Raw genomic sequence first — 19,228 nt, forward strand, 5'->3', positions numbered from 1 at the left:
GCCCTTATTGTCTGCTTCCTTTCTCAGCTGAACCCCTGGCCCCAGAGCCCCCAGCACGGCCCTCTAAGGTGGAGCAGCTCCAAGATGAGACCAACCACCTAAGGAAGGAGCTGGAGAGTGTGGGAAGACAGCTCCAGGCTGAGGTGGAAAACAATCAGATGTTGAGTCTCCTGAACAGGAGACAGGAGGAGAGGCTGCAGGAACAGGAGGGGTGGCAGGAGGAACAGGAGAGGCTGCTGGACAAGGTGGAGGAGCTGCTGGAACAGGAGAGGTTTTCGGGAGCAGGATGAGAGGCTGTGGCAGCAGGAGACTCTACGGGAGCTGGAGAGGATGCTGGAGTTGGGGTGGGAAGCCCTCTACAAGCAGCGGGCCGAGCCCCACAGCGGCTTCGAGGAGCTGGTGCGTTGCCCCACCTGGGGAGGCTGCCCTCTTCCCTAGCCCTCAAGGCCTTTGTTTCCCCACCTGTAAAATGGGGCATTGTAGCCTTCACATGAAATGGTACTTCTAAAGGCACCTGTGAGCCAGAGTCCTGCTCTGATGGCTGTGGGAGAAAGGGGATATTTTTCTAACCTGCCTCCACCCTTCCCGGTGCCATGGGAGGCAGACACCAAGTTCTGGGGTCTCCAGTTTTAGTGGGTGGCCACTGATTGCTTCTCTCTGTCCAGAATAATGAGAACAAGAGTGCACTGCAGTTGGAGCAGCAAGTAAAGGAGCTGAAGCTTGGTGAGCTGAAAGAGACGGTAACCTGTGACCCATCCAATAATGGCTGGGAGGCAGTCACCAGCCTCTGGGAAGGGGAGGTGCCAGGACAGAGGCAGCTGCAGCCTGAGGGCAGGTGACCCCAGCACCCTCCAGGGCAGTCCTATGACTGTTTCTTGCTTCCTGCCCTCTGATGTTTAGAGGTGGGTAGCCCTGGGCTCCTCCCAGGTCTGGACATCATCATCCCAGCTAGAGGCATGGAGCCCCCCCAATCACAGAGGAAGAGACAGTGGTATAAGAGGCTCCTTGGTGGGGTGTGGTGGCTCACGCCTGTAATCCCAGCACTTTGGGAGGCTGAGGTGGGACAATCACTTGAGGTCAGGAGTTTGAGATCAGCGTGGCCAACATGGCAAAACCTCATCTCTACTAAAATTAAAAAAAAAAAAATAATTAGCCGGGCCTGGTGGTGTATGCCTGTAATCCCAGCTACTCAGGAGGCTGAGACACGAGAATCACTTGAGCCTGGGAGGTGAAGGTTGCAGTGAGCTGAGATTGCACCACTGCATTCTAGCCTGAGACACAGAGTGACACTCTCTTAAAACAAAATAGAAAAACAAAAAAGACTCCTTAGATTCATACTGGATTCCGGCCTCGGTTCCACTGGTCATAATTCAACTACTTTGCATCTCTAAGTCTCTGTTTAACTTCAAAAGGAAGTTAGCCTTTTCCTTGCAGAGGTGCTGAGGATTAAATGAGATAATACTTGGAAACATTAGGTATGTGGCACACTTAGCAGATGGTGGTTGGCTGCCCCTGCTTTTCCACCAGTCTGTGGCCTACAGTTTAAATGCTGGGAAAAAGGACATGAGATTTGAGGCTGTGGAAGGAGGCATGTGGTTCTAGGCAAAGGAGGCAGTCTTGTACGCCTGGAGCAAGGGGCCAGGGGCCTGGGCAGGCCACAGAGCCCCACAGTGCCCTCGCTACCCTATTAATGGGCCAGGAATCTGGAAGCCAGCCACCACATGCCCTCATGCCCAGGGTTTTCCTGCACGTGGAGCTGAAGAGCCAAGAGGCTCAGAGTCAGCAGCAGCAGCAAGACCAGTACCTGTGTCACCTGCAGCAGTTCGTGGTTGCTTAGTAGCAGGTGGCTGCTTGTCAGCAGCTGGCCTCTGAGAAGGAGGCGCTGCACAGGCAGTTACTGCTGCAGACCTGGCTCATGGACCAGCTGCAGCAGGAGGAAGCTCGGGGCAAATCGGTGGCTAAGAGGGCCCGCCAAATGTTGCAGGAGACCCAGGGGAGGGAGTTGTTGAGGACAGGGCTCCAAGAGGGACAACCTGGCAACCTCTGTACCTTCTCACCCTCTTTCCTGGCCCCTTAGGAGAACCTGGAAGCTACCAGCCAGTAGAAACAGCAGCTAAAGCCCAGTTGAGCCTCATGGCTCTCCCTGGGGAAGGTATGGGAGACTACTCAGAGGAAGAGGAGAGAGCCCCAGGAGGAAAGGGGGACTGTTAGCAGCGTAGGATTGAGGAGTTGGAAGAGACCTTTAAGACAGCTGGTCATTATGCCAACTGGGTGTCCGCACTAAGTTCGGTATCAGTATGGTGACCTCCTGGGAACAGGTCATCGGCTTGCCTAAGGATGGGAGAACTGGCCCAGGTCAGAAAGGGAGCAGGTCAGAATTCCTGCACCAATCGGTAGTGGGACTGTGCCTGGGCAATATAGCAAGATCTTGGTTCTTAAAATTCAAAATAAAGAACAGCTCATTCCCCTCTGGGGAGGGGCTGGCTCAAGGTTACACAGTGAGTGTGGGGGCAGAGGCGGGCCCACTGTACCTCCCTTGTTGGGTTGTCTGAGGACCCCTCTGGCCACCCCCCACAGGAGATGGAGGAGGACATCTGGACAGTGAGCAGGAGGCGCCTCGGCCCATGCCGAACATCCCAGGGGACCTGGAGAGCCGGGAGGCCATGGTGAGCCTGACTTTCCCTGCCCCTACTTTGCCACCTTCCTCTGTGGTCCCTCCGAAACCCCCTTATGTTCTTGGTTTCCCCGCCTTCTGACTTCTGTGGACTTTCACTCCTCCTGGGAGCCAGTGGTCAGACACCATTTCACCTGTGACCAACAGGTGCACTCTGTGAGGCCCGAAAGGAGGGGGCTATGCTCCATCTCCCTGCCCCGGTTGTTATGTGTATACCCCTACAAGAATACTCACCTCTTGCCTTCAGGTGGCATTTTTCAACTCCGCTGGAGCCAATGCCCAGGAGGAGCAAAGGGTGTGCTGCCAGCCCCTGGCTCACCCAGTGGCCTCGTCCCAGAAAAAGCCAGAGGTAGCGGCCCCAGCCCCAGAGACTGGGGGTGAATCTGTGTGTGGGGAGACCCACCAGGCCCTGCAGGGGGCCATGGAGAAGCTGCAGGTGAGTAGTCCTGGCATGGGCCAACAAGGGTGGGGTCGGGACAAGGCAGGTGACTCCTGACATGTGACCCCATTATTTTGGCTCCACAGCGACTTTATGGAAGGAGAAGGTGGACCTGAAGGAGCGAGTGGAGAAACTGGAGCTTCAATTCATCCACCTCTCAGGACAGACAGACACCATAGTGAGCGAGAGGCTAGGGCACCGCTGGGGGGAGCTGCCAGGCCATCCGAGGGGCCCCAGCATCTGAGCCATGTCCTCCTGCAGGAAAGTACATCAGCCAGGGGGCAGTGTCAGAGACGCAGCACTGGGAGAGGAGGACATCGTCAGGCTGGCCCAGGACCAGGAGGAGATGAAGGTAGGGTGTGCAACATCTCGGTGGGGGTGGGGGTGGGGGTGAACGTGCGTGCCGGCACCGGCATGGCAGCTAACACCCCTTCCTCCAGGTGAACCTGCAGGAGCTGCGGGGCAGGTGTTGCAGCTTGTGGGCGACCACAAGGAGGGGCATGGCAAATTTTGACCATTGCCCAGAACCCTGCTGATGAGCCCACTCTAGGAGCCCCAATCGCCCGGGAGCTTGGGTGTGCGGACAAGCAGGGTGGGGAGTAGAGCCCTCAGGCGGGGTGGGCAGGCAGGAGCAGGGGAGGATCGAACTGTGCTCAGATTCCCACCCCCCTCTCTCTCTCTCTCTCTGAAGATCTTTGTGAGGTGAGCCTCACTGATAGCATGGAGGCTGTACCAGGAGAGGACAGGGAGGGTTCTCCCCATGACAACCCCACTGCACAGCAGATCCAGCAGCTGCTTCCTGTAATGCAGGACTCCCCAGGAGCACCCAGGCATGGGCAGCAACCCCTGCATGCCATTCTTTTTGGGCTGCCGAGAACAGGGAGATAAACACCACCATCATCTAAGAGCCGGGGAGGGGAGGGCGTAGGTGTGGGCATGGCAAGGTTCCTGGTAAAGGGGCTGGAAGGGAAAGGGGAGGAAGATGGAGGGAGAAGCTGGAGTGCCTGGGGGCTGTGGCAGCCCTCCCCACCCCACACACACTGGCCTCTCCCACGGCACCCAGGCAGTCCACCCACAGTTCAGACCAATGCTCAACCCCCTCAGGCTTCCGCTTCTCTGGTCACCGTCTTCCAACGCACTGGCCCAGGGCCACCTCTTGCTTGGGGAGCCCCACCCAACAGCCACCAAGCCTGACAGAAGGAACACTGCTTGAACCAAAATGGTGAAGCTATAAGGGATGGCTGGCTGGAGTGAATGCCAGAGGCCCCTCTGGGCTGTCTGAAAGCCCAGGGTCCTCTGAGGGACCCTGGGGAAGGCAGGAAGGGCAGGTAGCTGGATGCCATTGGCCATAGACTTCTAAGTCTAACAGGGGAGCCTCAACTGGTTGGTGGAGGGCTGCAGGTTGCATAGGTGAGGCTGGGCCCTTCCTGCTGGGAAAAGTAGAAGAGGGAGACTCTGTGGCAGTAAAGGGAAGTGAGCTGTCTAGGCGGAGCTCAGCTAGGCCAGCATACATTGTGGGCCCCTTGGCTGAATATCACAGGCGACCCCTAGAAGCAACAGGCCAAGGTGCGTGAGCCTGCTGGCCAGCAGTAGTGCTTCAGCAGGGGCCAGGGACCCTGCCTTCAGTCACACGCTAGCAGCTATGATGGTACCTGGGAGGGAGGGAAGGGGGCTGTGTGTCCTTGCATGGCCTATGAAGTGTGTTGTGGGATAACCATGTGTATAGGACTCTCAGGCTTTTATCCTAGATCACCACTAGATTGCTGACAGATAGAGGACGTGGGACCCTGACTATCACCCCTAATCTGCCGTGGATTTAGCTCTCGGCACTCCCAGGCTGGGAGCTGGATACCTGCCCTGGCAGCATGACTCAGACTGCGTGACAGGTACGGCGTGCCCAGGATGATGTTCCCAGGCCTCTGGCCGCCTGAGTCCAGCCCCCCACAGCATAAACCATGAGCTCTGTGCCCTCTCTGATGGCTCCACATCTGCCAGCTTGGGCATGGAGCCCCCAGGCTCAGCCTTGGAGACCTTGAGCACTGGCACTGAGTCCCGTGGCTCACAGGGAGCAAAGTGAGACAGCCAGCAGCACAAGGACAGAAAGAGGAAAGAGCAAGTCTGCAGCTTCAGAAGGAATGGGCAGGCCTGGGGGTGGGGGACACACACGCACATGCCCGAGTGTGCACACACATGCTGTGAGGCCCCACGGCCCGCATGCACACTCTAACACATGCCCACAAACAACACGCATACGTCGCCTTCCCCACCACCTCCCGGTGCCCAACACCCTCACTGGCCGGCACGTGCCGCGTGGATCTGGGGCATGCAGCCACACGGCACACTGAAGCACATGCGTGGGCAGAGTCACAACACAGATGATCACCCGCACACAGAGGCATTTGCACCAGCTGCCTGCACACTCGTGCCTGGCGTGCTCAGAGGACCACCCATGCTGCTCACGGAGACAGGGCTTGCTCACTAATGTCCGGCTGTCATTTCTCCACCTAAGAGCCTTCCATGGCTCCCTACTGCCTACAGCGTTGAATCCCAACAAGTCATACTCTTTGGACTTTGAAGGTTCTCCACCCTGTGCCCCACCCTCCCCACAGAGCTCTTCCTCATTCTGTCTCTGTTCCCTGCTTTGGCCAGTGGCTATCCTTGATGTGACCCACACTACACCTCTGCCCACACTGCAGCTCTTTACCCAGTTACCCTCCAGTTCCTCACAACGTATGCCTATCTCAGTCATGCCCTGGACTGCATTGAAGCCAGGCTGCCTTGAAGAAACTCTCCCAGACTGCCCTTTTACCCAAGGCAGGGTCATGATTTGCCAAAGGTTTCATTTGTGTTAGCAAGACTGGAGTCGGAGCAGGCATCAAACCTTACATCCCATATGTCACACCTCACCATAGATCTGGGTGCCAAATAGCCTGAAAAGTGTGAAATTATGTTGGCAGTTAGCAAAGTGCTCCTATGGCCGCATCTGCAGTTAACACAGCATCCCTATGACCACTGTCTCCCTTGATCCCCACAGCCATCCTAGGAGAAGGGCAGAATGTCGTCATTTCATAGAAGGGATGCTGAGGCTCTGGGAGGGAAAGGGACTTGCTTAAAGCCCCAGGGTGAAGCAGCATCTCTGGACTCCCAGTCCAGTGATCTTGCCCAATACTATGCTGCTTGCCTATACCCATCTAACTTGGTCATCAGCACGTCATAGGGCAAGCCCCAATCCCTGCTTCATTTTTGTATATGGGCGCTGGACCTACAGCCCCACTCTCCAGCCATTTGGAAAGGGAAACAGGGCACACTGGAAATCAGAGTGAATGTTCTTGGAAGAGGGTCACGGGTCAACAAGGCCCAGCCAAAGGATGCAGTAGAACCATTTTCCTTAGAAATCTTTGGGAGTGAAGTAGGCTTCAGCCACTCCCATCCCTGCCCTTGCAGCTACCACTGCGCCATTAGTTTAGACAGGGTTAGGGATAGAGGGGGAGGGGTCCAGATGTGGAGAAAAAATCAGATTGCCTGTGGGGACATCCGGGTAGCTGAAGGAAATCCACACACCCAGACTCTCAGACCTGAGGTAGGCTCCCCAGGGGCTGGGATAGGAGTTGGACAGAATGGAGGATGGAGGACAGCGAGAAGAAGAAAGGAAGAGAAATGCAACGTGTGGGCAGCCGCCAAGAGTGAAAATAGAGGGAAGTGCCATGCAAGTGCTGGACAGAAGGGGGCAGGTAAGACAAGCCCCACAGCCCCCTCAAAAACGACCACCTCCAGGAATCAGTGCTCCCTGGGGAGCAGGCTCCGCCAGCCCTCAGCCACACGTGGCTCCGGCACCCATGGTCCCAATGCCTTGGATGGAGGCGGCCAGGTCTGATGCTCTGGACTCCAGTCCCATTTCCTTCCCGGCCACGCCCGTCCAGCAGCCTCTTTGGCTGCATTCAGCCCCTACTCACTTGGAGACCCCGCGTGGGGCATGAGCGCACTTGGCGGGGTAGGGGCTGAAGGGATCAGGGGAAGCCTCTAGCCTGGAGGGTACGGGGCACGCTTCCCCAAGGGCGGACCTGGCAAGAGGAAGCCCAAGAGCTGGGCCCCGCCACCCAGGCCGGGCTAGGGACATGGTGGGGTCTGGGCATCCTGGGGCTGGACTTGGGCGACCTGCAAGGCATAGGGAGGGGAGAGATGGGTGGCTCTGCCCCCCTGAGGCCCCGCCCCGGCCACACCCATGCACGGAAGCTCCTCCCTGCCGTGCCCCGAGGCAGTCGCCCAAGCTTAAGCCCAGACCCCAGTGGTGAGAACATCCCAGCTCCACCCCGCCCCGCAGCCAGTGCTCCTTGGCAAGCTCCACCCCTCACTCCAGGTGGGAGCCACCCCGATGCAGGGGCATCCCTCTGTGCGGCCCGGGCGGGGGGTACTTTGGGGCTGTGGGGGGCAGGCCCTGGCACCTTTGTTCCTCAGAGATGCTCTGCACCTGCACCCAGGTGTCGTCCGCGGGCAGGGGCATGGGCATGCTGACGGTGGTCCTGGTGGTGTCACTGATGATGCTGAGCGCCTCCTTCAGCACGTGGTGCATGCGCAGCATCTCGTCGTGCCACTGTGCCTACTCTGCCCACTCCTCCATCAGTGTGTTCTGGTTCCCACGCGAGTACATATTGGCCAGTGGCTCCGAGATGATGAACTCCGTGGTCTGAGAGTGGACAAACAGGAAAGAAGGTCGGGACCTGATGCCTGTGCTGCCCTACTGGGACTGTGTGCTGGACTTGGAGCCCCTTGGAGTAAGGCTTTTCACACGGGCTTCTATACCGCTTCGACTGGAAGATCCACCTCCCCACTGCCTTTTCTCACTCAGATGGGGACACTGAGGTCCAGAGGAAAAGACACCTGTCAAATGTCACAGATCTGGGAGCGGACTTAGGACCTATCACGCCAAGAAGACACCTGTTTACTCAGTTTTCTTTTCGGAAGGGGGCACTGATAGGGTCTCGCTCTGTCACCAGGCTGGAGTACAGTGATGACTGCTCACTGCAGCCTCCATCTCCTGGGCTGAAAGTGATCCTCCAATGTCAGCCTCTTGCGTAGCTAGGACTACAGGCACGTGCCACCACCAAGCCCAGCTACTTGTAAAATTTTTGTGTGGAGACAAGGTCTCCCTATGTTGCCCAGGCTGGTCTCGAACTCCTGGGCTCAAGTGATCCTCCCACCTCGGCCTCCAGGAGTGGGAGTGAGACAAAACACAGGGTCCCGAGCTCTGGGGAGCAAGCAGTGTCCTCTGGTGCCAGAAATCCTGGACTTGCCAGCAGAAGTGTTGCCTCTTACTTGCCATGTGCTCTGCATACAGGTACCTGCCCTCCAGGAGCTTCAGTTTTCTTATCTGAAAAATGAGGACACCTGACCCCTTCCCTGCCCCGTTCGGTGTTGTGGGACAGGGCTGCTGTCAAGACAATACCCAGTTCTGCCCTCCTCCCTGAGTGGGCCAGGTAGCCCATGGAGCCTCTTCCCGGCTTTCCTGGGTGGCACTGCCAGCCTGGCCCCCTGGTGCCCATTCAATCTAGTCCTTCATCTTGCTAGGGCATGGGGAAGCTCTGAGTAACGTGGGACTATAGAGCGCAAGAGGGTTGCTGATGGTCTGGTCCCGTGCCCTCCTCATTCCTCGGCATTCTTGATGAAGGCTCCCAGCAACTGAGGGTACGCAGCAGCTGTAGACACCAGCCTGATGAATATCTCACTGTGGGGAGGGCACCATAGCAGGAGTGGAGCTCCGGGGAAATACAGAACCCAGGTCTGGGAGGTGCTGATGTGAGAGGCCCAAGAAACCTCGGCTTTGCACTTGCTGAGTACCATCTGCACCTCTCAGGAGGGAGAGTGCCAGGCTCAGGTTGTCCTTGCCCAAGCAAGGGAGCTTGAAAAGGGGGCTAGGGGTGGGCTCTGCCATTTTCAAGGGCTGGCAGGGGGACCCCTCTGGAGGTACTTGGGGCAGTGCTGCATGCCGTGGCTCCTGAATGACAGAGACAGCTCTGCGTCCCACAAGACCACTCCCTGCCCAGAACTCACTGTGATCATGTGCTGGGTCCAGATGCTCACGCAGCCTCCTGGTGGGAGCATCAGGTATGCTGCCTGCCCAGGACGGCCCACAAAAGAGTCTGCCCTGCTATGGAACAACTCCCGTTCTGCCTTTGGGGAGAGGTGTTCATTTAAACAATGACTGCTCTGGCCCCCATGGCACAATTACCACAGAGAGTCTGCCACTACCCATGGCTGAGAGCTCTAGTTCTTCTCTGAAGCCACCAGGACAGATGAACAGTGGCTTCCCCCTTTTGGCCGACTCAGCTGCCTTTCATCAGCTCATCTGCTCCTAGGATCCACTCTGCCTCTGGCTGGCACCTGATCTGAGCCCCAGGCTCACACCTCTGCCCACAGGCCCCAGCAGCTGTTTCACCTCCGACTCCATCCCCCACCAAGCACTGCCCCTCACCAGCTACTGGGGTGCCACTAGTGCCCCTACATGGTTCTCCCTCTCCAGACCCTTGGGTCCAGCTCTAACTTCCTTCTGGAAACCACACCCCAAGACCCCAGCCCTGCTCTAGGGCCCTGTATCCCCGACTTCCTGCATCCTTCTCCCTCCTTCTGGGAACATGAACTTGCCCCGCCAGCCTGATGACTCCTGGAGGGCAGGACGCCAGGGCCCTGGACCATGGCAGGCCCGGGAGTGTCTGCTGCCAGTGATGCTGGAGCTGGTGCCCATGTCCACATGATGTCCATGGCACAGTGGCCACCTGAGGCTGGGCGCATCTGAGTGGTGACTGCAGAGTGGGGCCCTTACCTCTCCCTGAGTGAAGTTCACCAGGTCCTCCCCTGTGAACTGCCCCCAAACTCACATTCCTGTTCTGTACCCTTGCCCGGAATGTTCCTTTTGCCTGGAATACCACTCCCCATTCCCTGCTCCCGATGGCCTGTGCTCTTCAGAGCCGGGCCCAAACACTGCCTCCTCCCATGAGGCCTTCCTGATGCCAGATCTGCTGGCTCACCTTGGGCCCCAAGCTCCAGATGCAGACCAGAAGGGTCTCTGAAATGAGCAGTGTGGGAGAGTAAGGCTGAGAGCGGGCAAGGACTGGCCTGAGGTCACAGGGCATGTCAGTGAGATCTCTGGAAGGCCCATGGCTGCTCTGTGGGGTTCCTGGATGAGCAGAAGCCCTTGACACACCCTCCTAGTCCTGGTCTGGGCTCTGAGAAGAGAGCGGGGTACACAGGGGTCTGAGGGGCAGCGGCCTGTCTCCACAGCCAGCAATCCCAAAAGTTCAGGACCCGTGATGCCCACCCAGGGAACTGACTGCAATGCAGATTCTCCGGCTCCACTTCAGAGATTCTGTAGGGCTGGCTAGGGTCCAGGAATCTGCACGCTCAGCCATGCCATGGACATGAGTGGGCACCATCTCTAGAGGCACACACCACTCCCCGGAGGATGGGTGTACAGCAAGCTCCCCAGAAACTCTTGGGAACACAACATATATGGGAGCACATCTGAGGCACGTGCACACACGCAACCTGGGACCACCACAGGCACAACCCAAGTCACATGTGTTCCCGGCAGGGAGGCTGGGAGGAAGGCCCTCTACCTGGTCCACACCTCCACTCACCACCCCCAGCTCCTCACCTCCAGCTGGTCTCTTCTGATCTCAGCTGCCTCTCCCTGGAAGATGTAGATCTTCTTGTGCCAGGCCAGCTTCAGTGGGGCTAGTGGGCCCTCTAGGGCAATGGTCACTTGTAGGGTGGCATCTGTGTGCACTGGCCCCACATCCATTGAGAAGGCCCCACATCCATTGAGAAGGCCAGGGTGTTGCGGGAGCTGAGGCTGCCATTGTGGCCAAAGAGAATGGCCCCAACCAGCAGGTCCTGCTGGGAGAAGGCAGTGCTGGCTGAGTGGCCTGCAGCAACTGTCCCCAGCGAGGGCTGTCTGTGACGTGGTAGTGGACCTCATCCCCGCTGCGGATGTCGAGGTTGGTGCCAAGGTGGAGCTCGGCCATGTTGATGGTACCCTGGTCTCCTTGAGGGACCATGAGGCTGGAGCCGTTGGCCACACAGAGGTAAGGCTCCAAGGCCTGCACCTCCAGCACCATGATGGCCTGGTGCTGCCTGTCGGACACCTGCAGCAGGATCCAGCTGTAGTCAGCCTGAGTGCGTGAACAGGACTCGCCTCTTCCTGAGGCCCCTCCTGGATGAAGCAGCAGATGGGCTGCATGGGCTCATCCGTGGCCATGATACTGCCAGAGAGGAGGTCCTTGTGGGTCAGCACCAGCTGGGCATCCACAAAGCCCGAATCAGCATTGCTGAAGGCCATGTTGTCTGTAGTCAGCAGCTGCCACCTACCCCAGGCCACATGGAAGACGCAGCTGATGCTCTGCACAGGGGCGTGGTCATTCACAGGCTGGATGGCCCCGTACCTCCTCCCAGGCCACGTCACCACTGCTCTGGTCCTGGCGGCAGCAGCAAATGGCATATCATCTTCCGTGATCTCGGAGTCATCATGCTGCTAGACCAGCTGGCCACGCAACAGGTCTCCATTGGTGAAGGATGTCACCATAGTGATCTTGTCCTGTGTCCCACGCTAAGAACCTCCCATGGCAGGGCTGCTACATGACCTCATAGAGGTACCTGGCACTGTTGAGGCTCTTGACGAAGAGCTGGTCAGCAGAGAGGACACACCCACCACCCTCGGGCACCACGAGGACATTGGTGAGGACAGGCATGTCTGGGTCACCGCCAATATGGATGGAGAAGGTACAGAGTGGGGAGAAATATGGTGGAGCTGTGACATGGAAACAGAAGGTGTCCTCCACTGCCACTGAGGCACGTGCCATGGCCCCATAGGTCACCTCTGCAGCCTGTACGTCATCCTGGGTGAAGCCCTGACCGTCTGACAGCATCGTGCCCTGTAGTTGAAAGTTGCCTTTCCTGGGAGCCTGAACCACCTCACAGTGGAAGGTTGGGGGGCTTGGGCCTGCCTCCTCCAGGGTGGCCTCCAGGTGGGCTGTGGTGAGGGCCTCCTGCTGGGTGTTCTGAGTGTGCAGTGGCTCCAGCTGCAGCATCCACACAGTGGCTCTCTGGATGGTCACTAGGAAGGACAGATTGCTCAGGATTTCCCAGCTCACCTGCACCTGCAGATCCAGGTTCTCCACGGTGTCCTCGGTGTAGTGCTGTGGGTCAGTGCTGCGGTACCTCACGTGGCCCTGCTCCACATCCTGCTGGTGGAACGCCTGTGTGACCCACCACTCAGCATCCTCCACCCCACCAGCCCCCTGCTTCTGCAGCTCCCTGAACGGCAGGCCTCCGGTGACATGGAACAGCACGGTCACATCCTGCCCCACGGCGCTGGTCTCCACCAACAGGTTGGTAGGCAAGATGGGCATGGCAGAGCCCTGGGCCAGATGCAGCCCTGTGCTGCGGTGGATTTGTATGGCCAGCTGGACAGCCACCACCTTCAGCATGGCCGGGGGGCTGGCCTGCAGTCCATTGCTGACCCGGAATGTCAAGTCCTGTGTAGGGCCACCACAGTGGACATAGACTAGGCTGCCGGCCTCCAACTCCCAGCAGGAGAACTCAGTCACCGGCTCCCCAGGCTGGTCTCGGTGATCCACGGGGAGGCCAGAGGGGGTGCCAAGGAGCTGGAAGGCGAGGCCCTCACAGGCAGAGTCCAGGTCATAGGCCTGGAGAACCTCAGGCCCCAGAGGCTTCTGTGTGTGTTCCAGGATCACCATAAGGCTGCCATGTGGGAAGATGATGTGGGGTGGGTCATTGACAGGGTTGACCTGGATGGGCAGGAGGTCTGTTTGGCCCCTCCGCAGGCATGAGGGCATGGGCAACCAAGCCATCACTGACACCTCCAGCACCAGCTGGTCAGAGGTGTCCTCAGGGCCATCGTGGATGAAGCGGGCCTTGCAGTTCACCACGTCCAGGAGGGTGAACATTTTTCATGCCTGGGCACCCAGGACATCCAGCTCGAGCTCGCTGTAGTGTGCCCCTCAGGTCACACTGAACAGCACCTGGGATTTACGCAGTTCAGCCTCCATCAGTGCCAGCATGGGCTGCACATGCCACCACTCAAGCCAGGCTGTGCCACCCTCGGTCACCACCACTGCGCTGATAGCAGCTGGATGAAATTGGCAAAGACAGGAGGTAGCCCTGGCTCAGGCACGCATGGCTCAGCTAGCTCCACAGACAGCCAAGCCTTGGGAGCCAGGGTGGAGAAAGCTTCATAATGGCCATAGGCATTGTCTACCTCCTCCAGTCTGCAGCCAGCCACCATGTTGTGCGTCAGCAAGGCTTCCCACAGCCCCTGCCTCTAGCCATTGACACTGAGGTCTTCCATGCAGCCAGCCCAGCAGGGAGGCATTGGCAGCCCCTGGTGTCAGGCCTGAGCGGTGTTCCTGGAGGTGATGAGAGGCCTCTGCAACCAGCTCCCCAAGAAGGAGACTGTCACGTGGCTCCAGGTAGCTGAGGACTCCTCAGTTCGTGTGGGGTACTGGTCCATGGAGATTTCTAGCTGGTGAATGTTGATGTGGATGCTGACCTTGTGGGGCTGTGCGTCAGTCACAGGCACACTGTTGAGGAGCAATACAGTACCCTGGCCCTTCTCAACCATGGACCACAGGTGGCCCTCAAATATGTCCACATGGATGAAGTCCCCATGCCAGCCTGCTGCCTGGAAGGCCAAGGGTGCCTGCCAGCTCTGTGTGGTGAGTGTAAACTCCAGGGTTCCTTCATCCTGAGTGCCCCAGGCAGGCAAGGCAGCCAGAGAGTGGGACCCAGAGAAGCCCAGGGCCACATCGTCATTGGCAGAAAACTCTTCAGCACAGCCCTCATGCTTATTGGGGGTCAGAGGCTGGAGGAGTCTGCGGCCATTGAGAGCGGCTGCATGGAGGCAACCCCTCAGGGGATGGCTGGTTCCCCTCAGGTAGGGCAGGCCAAGTCTCCCAGTGCTCCCAACAAAGAGCCCATAGGGGACTTCTAGGGGGGCTCCCAGGACTACAGAGGAGGCATTCAGAAACCCATTGACTGACAATGTGGGCCAGTCCTCTGAGACAGTCAGAACTGTGGTGTGGGGGACGGAGTCACTCAGTAGAATTTCTGCTGGGGTCTGCAGCCTCAGCTCCTCCTGGCCCAGGACAAGCCTGACCTGAGGAGAGACGGGGAATGGGAGATGGGGGGCAGCACTTTGAATCCATCATTTCCCTTATAAAAGCACAGTGGGTTCCCCACAGGGGGCCCCAGAGCAGAAAACCTAGGACAAGGGCCTCTGGTGCCACTCCTCTTGCCTTCCTGCCATCTCTTTATTCATCCTCCAAACACTCACCAAAGGAAACTCTGGGCCAGGCCTGGATGGGCTCTGGGGACCCTGGTGTGAATCAGATGTGGTCCTTGCCCACAAGGAACTGACATATAGCAAGATGCTCTTCTAGAAACCCAACCTGTATTTTTAAATTCTCCTCCTCTTTCCTTGAGTGAGAAGCACCAGAAATATTGTCTTGGAATCTAGATTTCACCCCTGGAATAATGGGTAACTGAGAATCCGTTGATCAGTCCCCCTAAGTTTGGCAAAGTTTCTCGAGGTCACTGAAGGAAGCCAGGCTAACTGTTCAGGGACAGGGAGCCCAGGCAGATGCTCTGTGTTCTGGAAAAAAAAAAAAAAAAAAAAAGCTGCCTGACCTGTGGTGGAGGAATATCTCAAGGAGAGATGAAGGACATAGTTCTGTCACCATGACATTGACACAAGAAATGGCTCTGGTATGGTGCTCCCAGATGCTAGAATAGGTGATGGCAGAGTATGGGAACTGCAGAACCAGAACACTAAGAACCATGATCTTGGAGTCCTGGTATGGTGCATCTCTGTAGGGATGTGGCATCACTACCTGCACAGCTCAGCAGCCATCAGCACCAGACTGCACCACATAGGTGTTCAACAGTGACACCTTGTGGCAATGAGCAGCAATGACAGCAGCAGACTGACCAAGCCCTAGTCCTCTTCCCACTGGGGTGTGGAAAGAGATGGCTGCCCCAAATTTGTTAATTTGTTTTTTTTTTTCCTTCTAAAATAGAGATGGGGTCTCATTGTGTGGCTCAGGCCAGTCTTGAACTCCTAGGCTCAAGTGATCTTTCCACCTTGGTCTCCCAAAGTGGTGGGATTATAGGCATAAGCCACTGCACCCAGCCTGCCCCAAATTTGGACTAAGACCCTGGGTTCTTAAACTCTTCCTGGTATGGGGTAAGACTCAAGTAGGAGCCACAAGACTCCTTGATAATAAAGCTTGTGGTGTCTTGAAGGATGAAATGGAAAAATGAAGCTGAGGCAGTACTGGTGCTGTTACTCTCATGGACAGACAGTGGTGCTGCAGATAAATTGGTGCAGTGCCACCAGGATGCGCAGGGGTCATGGGGGCCCAGGAGGGGGTCTCGCCGAGGAGGAGGGGATGCCCACACTGAAACTTCAAGGAGAGACTAGAGTTCGGCAGGTACAGGGAATGGGTGGGTCACACACCTGGCAGGAGGAGTGTGATGACCAAAGGCCTGGCTGCAAGTGACCATAAGATGGCCAGGAACTGAAAGCAGTTCAGTGCAGTCAGAGCACAAAGGGCCAGTGAGGGCTTGTGGTGGGAAACATGGTTGGAAGGAGCCGGTGGGCAGAGCCAGTTCATGAAGGATTTACCATTTCTGAGCTGCTGCTGCCCATCCCACAGTGGAGAACTTGAGACCCCAAGAAAAGTGACTTACACAAGGTCAACAGCCAGCTGGGGTTCACTCAAAGCTAGACAAGGAATCTCGCCCCAATCCCAGGGGGACGTCACTCACCTGCAGGTGTCCAGAGTAGAGCTGCAGCAGGAGGTGGTCAGCTGGGCCTGCTGCCAGGAGAAGGAGGGCTTCGGGTTGGGACATGGAGAACTGCAGCTGCAGGTCTATGTCAGTCAGAGCCATGGCCACAGTCACCTCCGGGTGGTTCTAACCAAAGAAGGAAGCTGTGTGAGAGAGGGAGCTGTGGTCAAGGCTCAGATTCTTGCCTGGAGGAGGCGAGGTGCTGCAGGGAGGGATGGGTGGGTTGCAGAAAGGGGTCCGTGCTGGTGCACCCTCATGGTTCTGCCATACGGTGCTGCCTCTGAGCACTGCCCAGATCCCAGCATTTCCTTGGTCCTGGCACCAGAAGGCACAGCCTCACCTTGTGTCCAGCCCAGACCTTGACTTGGCAGGAGGTCAGACCCAGAAATTCCCAGCAACTCAGGTCTCCTCCTTGGAGGTTCCTGGAGCCAGAGGCCTCTGCCAGCTCTGACTCACCTCCCCTGGGCCCCAGAGGAGTCTCCCTCCCAGGTCTGGCTCCCCGACCTGGCCCAAAGGGAAACATCACTGGCCTGATCACCTGGCTTGGTGGTCACAGCCCTGAGGAATGGAGTTTCTGGAGAATCACCACCAGGCCAGATCGATCCCTGCTCAGATTCCTTCTCCTAAGTGCTCTTGTGCTTGGGCTCCTGTGCAGCACCTGCCGTGCCATGCCCCACCTCCATGGGTTGGCTGGGGCCACGGCTGGGATCTGGGGGTGATGTCACTGCAGCCCACCTATCCCTGCTTCTCCCTCAGGCCATTCTTCCAGCTGCCATTGAGGGTGGGGGCAGGAGCTTATTGGCCTGAGTTTGCCAAGGAGTAAAGGCTCTCAGGCCAGATGGGGACCATATGCAGTGTCAAACCAAAGTGGGCCCACACTTCCTCCACTACCCCTGCTGTTGCTTCCTGCTAGAGAGCTATTCACAGTCCCCGCTGAGCAGTCAGATCCGGCCCCATTGTTTCCACCGTGGCCAAGGAACCAGGGATGAGAACAGCTCAGCTCCCAACCTCCCCAGGCCACCACTCAGTCTGAGGCTGAAGACAGGGCCTAGAAGGGGCTGAGGGTCTGCTGAGCAGGCCAAAGAGGGCCTCCCCAGGCAGAAGGCCATGTCTGGGCTTGCCTGGGATTAGTGGTTCTTATGCAGGGCCTGTTCTGTCCCACAGTGGGACTCCTCCTCTTTTGAGTTGCTGCTTCCTCCAGGCAGTTTCCCCAAATTAGCCTCCCTGACTTCCAACCCGATGCCATAATTTCTGGTTTATGCCTTTTGCGGTGATAAGAGCCAAATATAACTTTAACTTTGCCTGCAGATGTCCAGGGCTGGGGGGCAGACAAACACAGGTTAAAAACTGTGATTCATCCCTGTTGGGTTTCCCTCAAACCCCAAGAACAAGCACAGGCTGATGGCCTTGATGGGGTGATCCAGCACCGACCTCACATGCACTGGTCCCTAGCCAGCCTGAGCCAGCTGCCATCTGCTCGAGGAAGTAGCTTCAGCCATTGGAGGAGTTGGAGGTTTGTATACCCTCAGGGCAGCCAGTCCCACCTGGAGGGATATCCAGGAAAGATCCCGTAAGAGCCCCTCGGGTTGAGTTAAATCCCCTCTAGTTATCCCCTCCTCCTGCCAGCACTGCTGGCAACACCAGCACCTTGGCTGGGAAGCTAAGGGAATCAAGTAAGCCCCGCAGACCATATGCACGGGGGTGGCCCAGCAGTCTCAGCAGGCACAGCACAGCTTGGTGCCAGCAAGAGACAGACCAGGGAACTGCAGGTGGTGGCCAGCTACTGGGGTGCCTTATCTGCAAAGACATTGATTCCTAAGAGCAAAACACAGCACACTAAAGTGAGGGAGGCCATAGCACAAGGGGTGGGGGCACATGGCCCTGCAGGATGGAGCCACCACAGTCACCGGCTGGAACGGCTCACAGCAGCTGCCAGGAGCCAACTGTTGAATTTTCAGGAATTTTGAGAGGCAGGTGATACTGCCCACAGTGGGAATATTTATACCAGGAAAAGAGGCAAATACTGAAAATCAGGGTTCCCTCTCCCCAAGAAAGCCCTTTGCGAAACATTTACCTACCCAGCACCCACGGGGAAGGGGGCACATTTCCCTGTGCCTACCCACCTGTGTTAATCAGGGTTCCCTAGAGGGACAGAACTAATAGGAGATATAGACAGATATAGATATAGATATAGATATAGATATAGATAATAGATATAGATATAGATATAGATAATAGATATAGATATAGATAGATATATAAAGGGGAGTTTATGAAGTATTAACTTACACAATCACAAGGTCCCACAATAGGCTGTCTGCAAGTTTGAGGAGCAAGGAGAGCCAATCCGAGTCTCAAAACTGAAGAACCTGGAGTCCGATGTTAGAGGGCAGGAAGTGTCCAGCATGGGAGAAAGATGTAGGCTGGGAAGCTAGGCCAATCTTACCTTTTCATGTTTTTCTGCCTGCTTTATATTCGCTAGCAGCTGATTAGAAAGATGGTACCCACCAGTATTAAAGGTGGGTCTGCCTTCCCCAGCCCACTGACTCAAATGTTTATCTCCTTTTACAATGCCCTCACAGACACTTCCAGTAGGTCAATACTTTGCAGCCTTCAACCCAATCAAGTTGACACTCAGTATTAACTGTCACACCACCCTTGCACTAAAGGTATACATACACCCACTAGGGCATGGTCAAGGTCAGAGATCTGGGCCAGACAGGAACTGAAGTAGATGGTTGGCCCTAACCACTGAACCACCTGCCTGCGGCCTCCTCCCATCAGAAGAGAGTAGAGCCTGTTTGGCCAGAGTGGAATGGTGGCAGGAAGCAGAGGTACTTTCCGGAGCGCTGGGGTCTGAATGGGTCCATTGAGGCTGGGCCCTGCTGCTTCCTGTAGGGCTGAGTGGGAGAGGCTCACAGAGGCTGCCTTGTGCAGCTGGAGCGCATAGCCAGGGAGGCCCCCACTCCAACAGAGGCCTCTGAGGCCTTGCTGGCCGGGGCTTTGGAAACTCTGACAGCGCTGCTTCCCTCACCTCCTGATCTCCTTTTTCTGCCCCTCTTACACTCTCTGAGGGGCTGCAGTTGCAAGAACCCAGAATCTCTGTCTTGGAGGTAGTGGGGGGGGGCAGTTGAAGAGGGGCTTTGAATGGAGAGGGTCTGCACAATAAAGATGTAATAAGCTAGGAGTCAATCCAGAGGACTTCCTGGAGGAGGTGATGGTGGTGTAGAGTCACAGAGAGGGAGGAACAGGCAGTC

At 57.0% G+C, this 19,228-nt stretch overlaps 4 pseudogenes; 2 read left to right on the forward strand and 2 right to left on the reverse strand.

Annotated features, from left to right (window-relative positions):
• On the forward strand, positions 28-3,458 carry LOC100288367 (golgin A2 pseudogene; annotated as a pseudogene).
• On the forward strand, positions 2,185-2,449 carry RN7SL417P (RNA, 7SL, cytoplasmic 417, pseudogene; annotated as a pseudogene).
• Positions 7,555-7,803, reverse strand: DNM1P51 (dynamin 1 pseudogene 51; annotated as a pseudogene).
• CSPG4P5 (chondroitin sulfate proteoglycan 4 pseudogene 5) lies at positions 10,559-14,281 on the reverse strand (annotated as a pseudogene).

This window comes from Homo sapiens, chromosome 15, assembly GCF_000001405.40.
Source record: "Homo sapiens chromosome 15, GRCh38.p14 Primary Assembly".
NCBI lineage: Eukaryota > Metazoa > Chordata > Mammalia > Primates > Hominidae > Homo > Homo sapiens.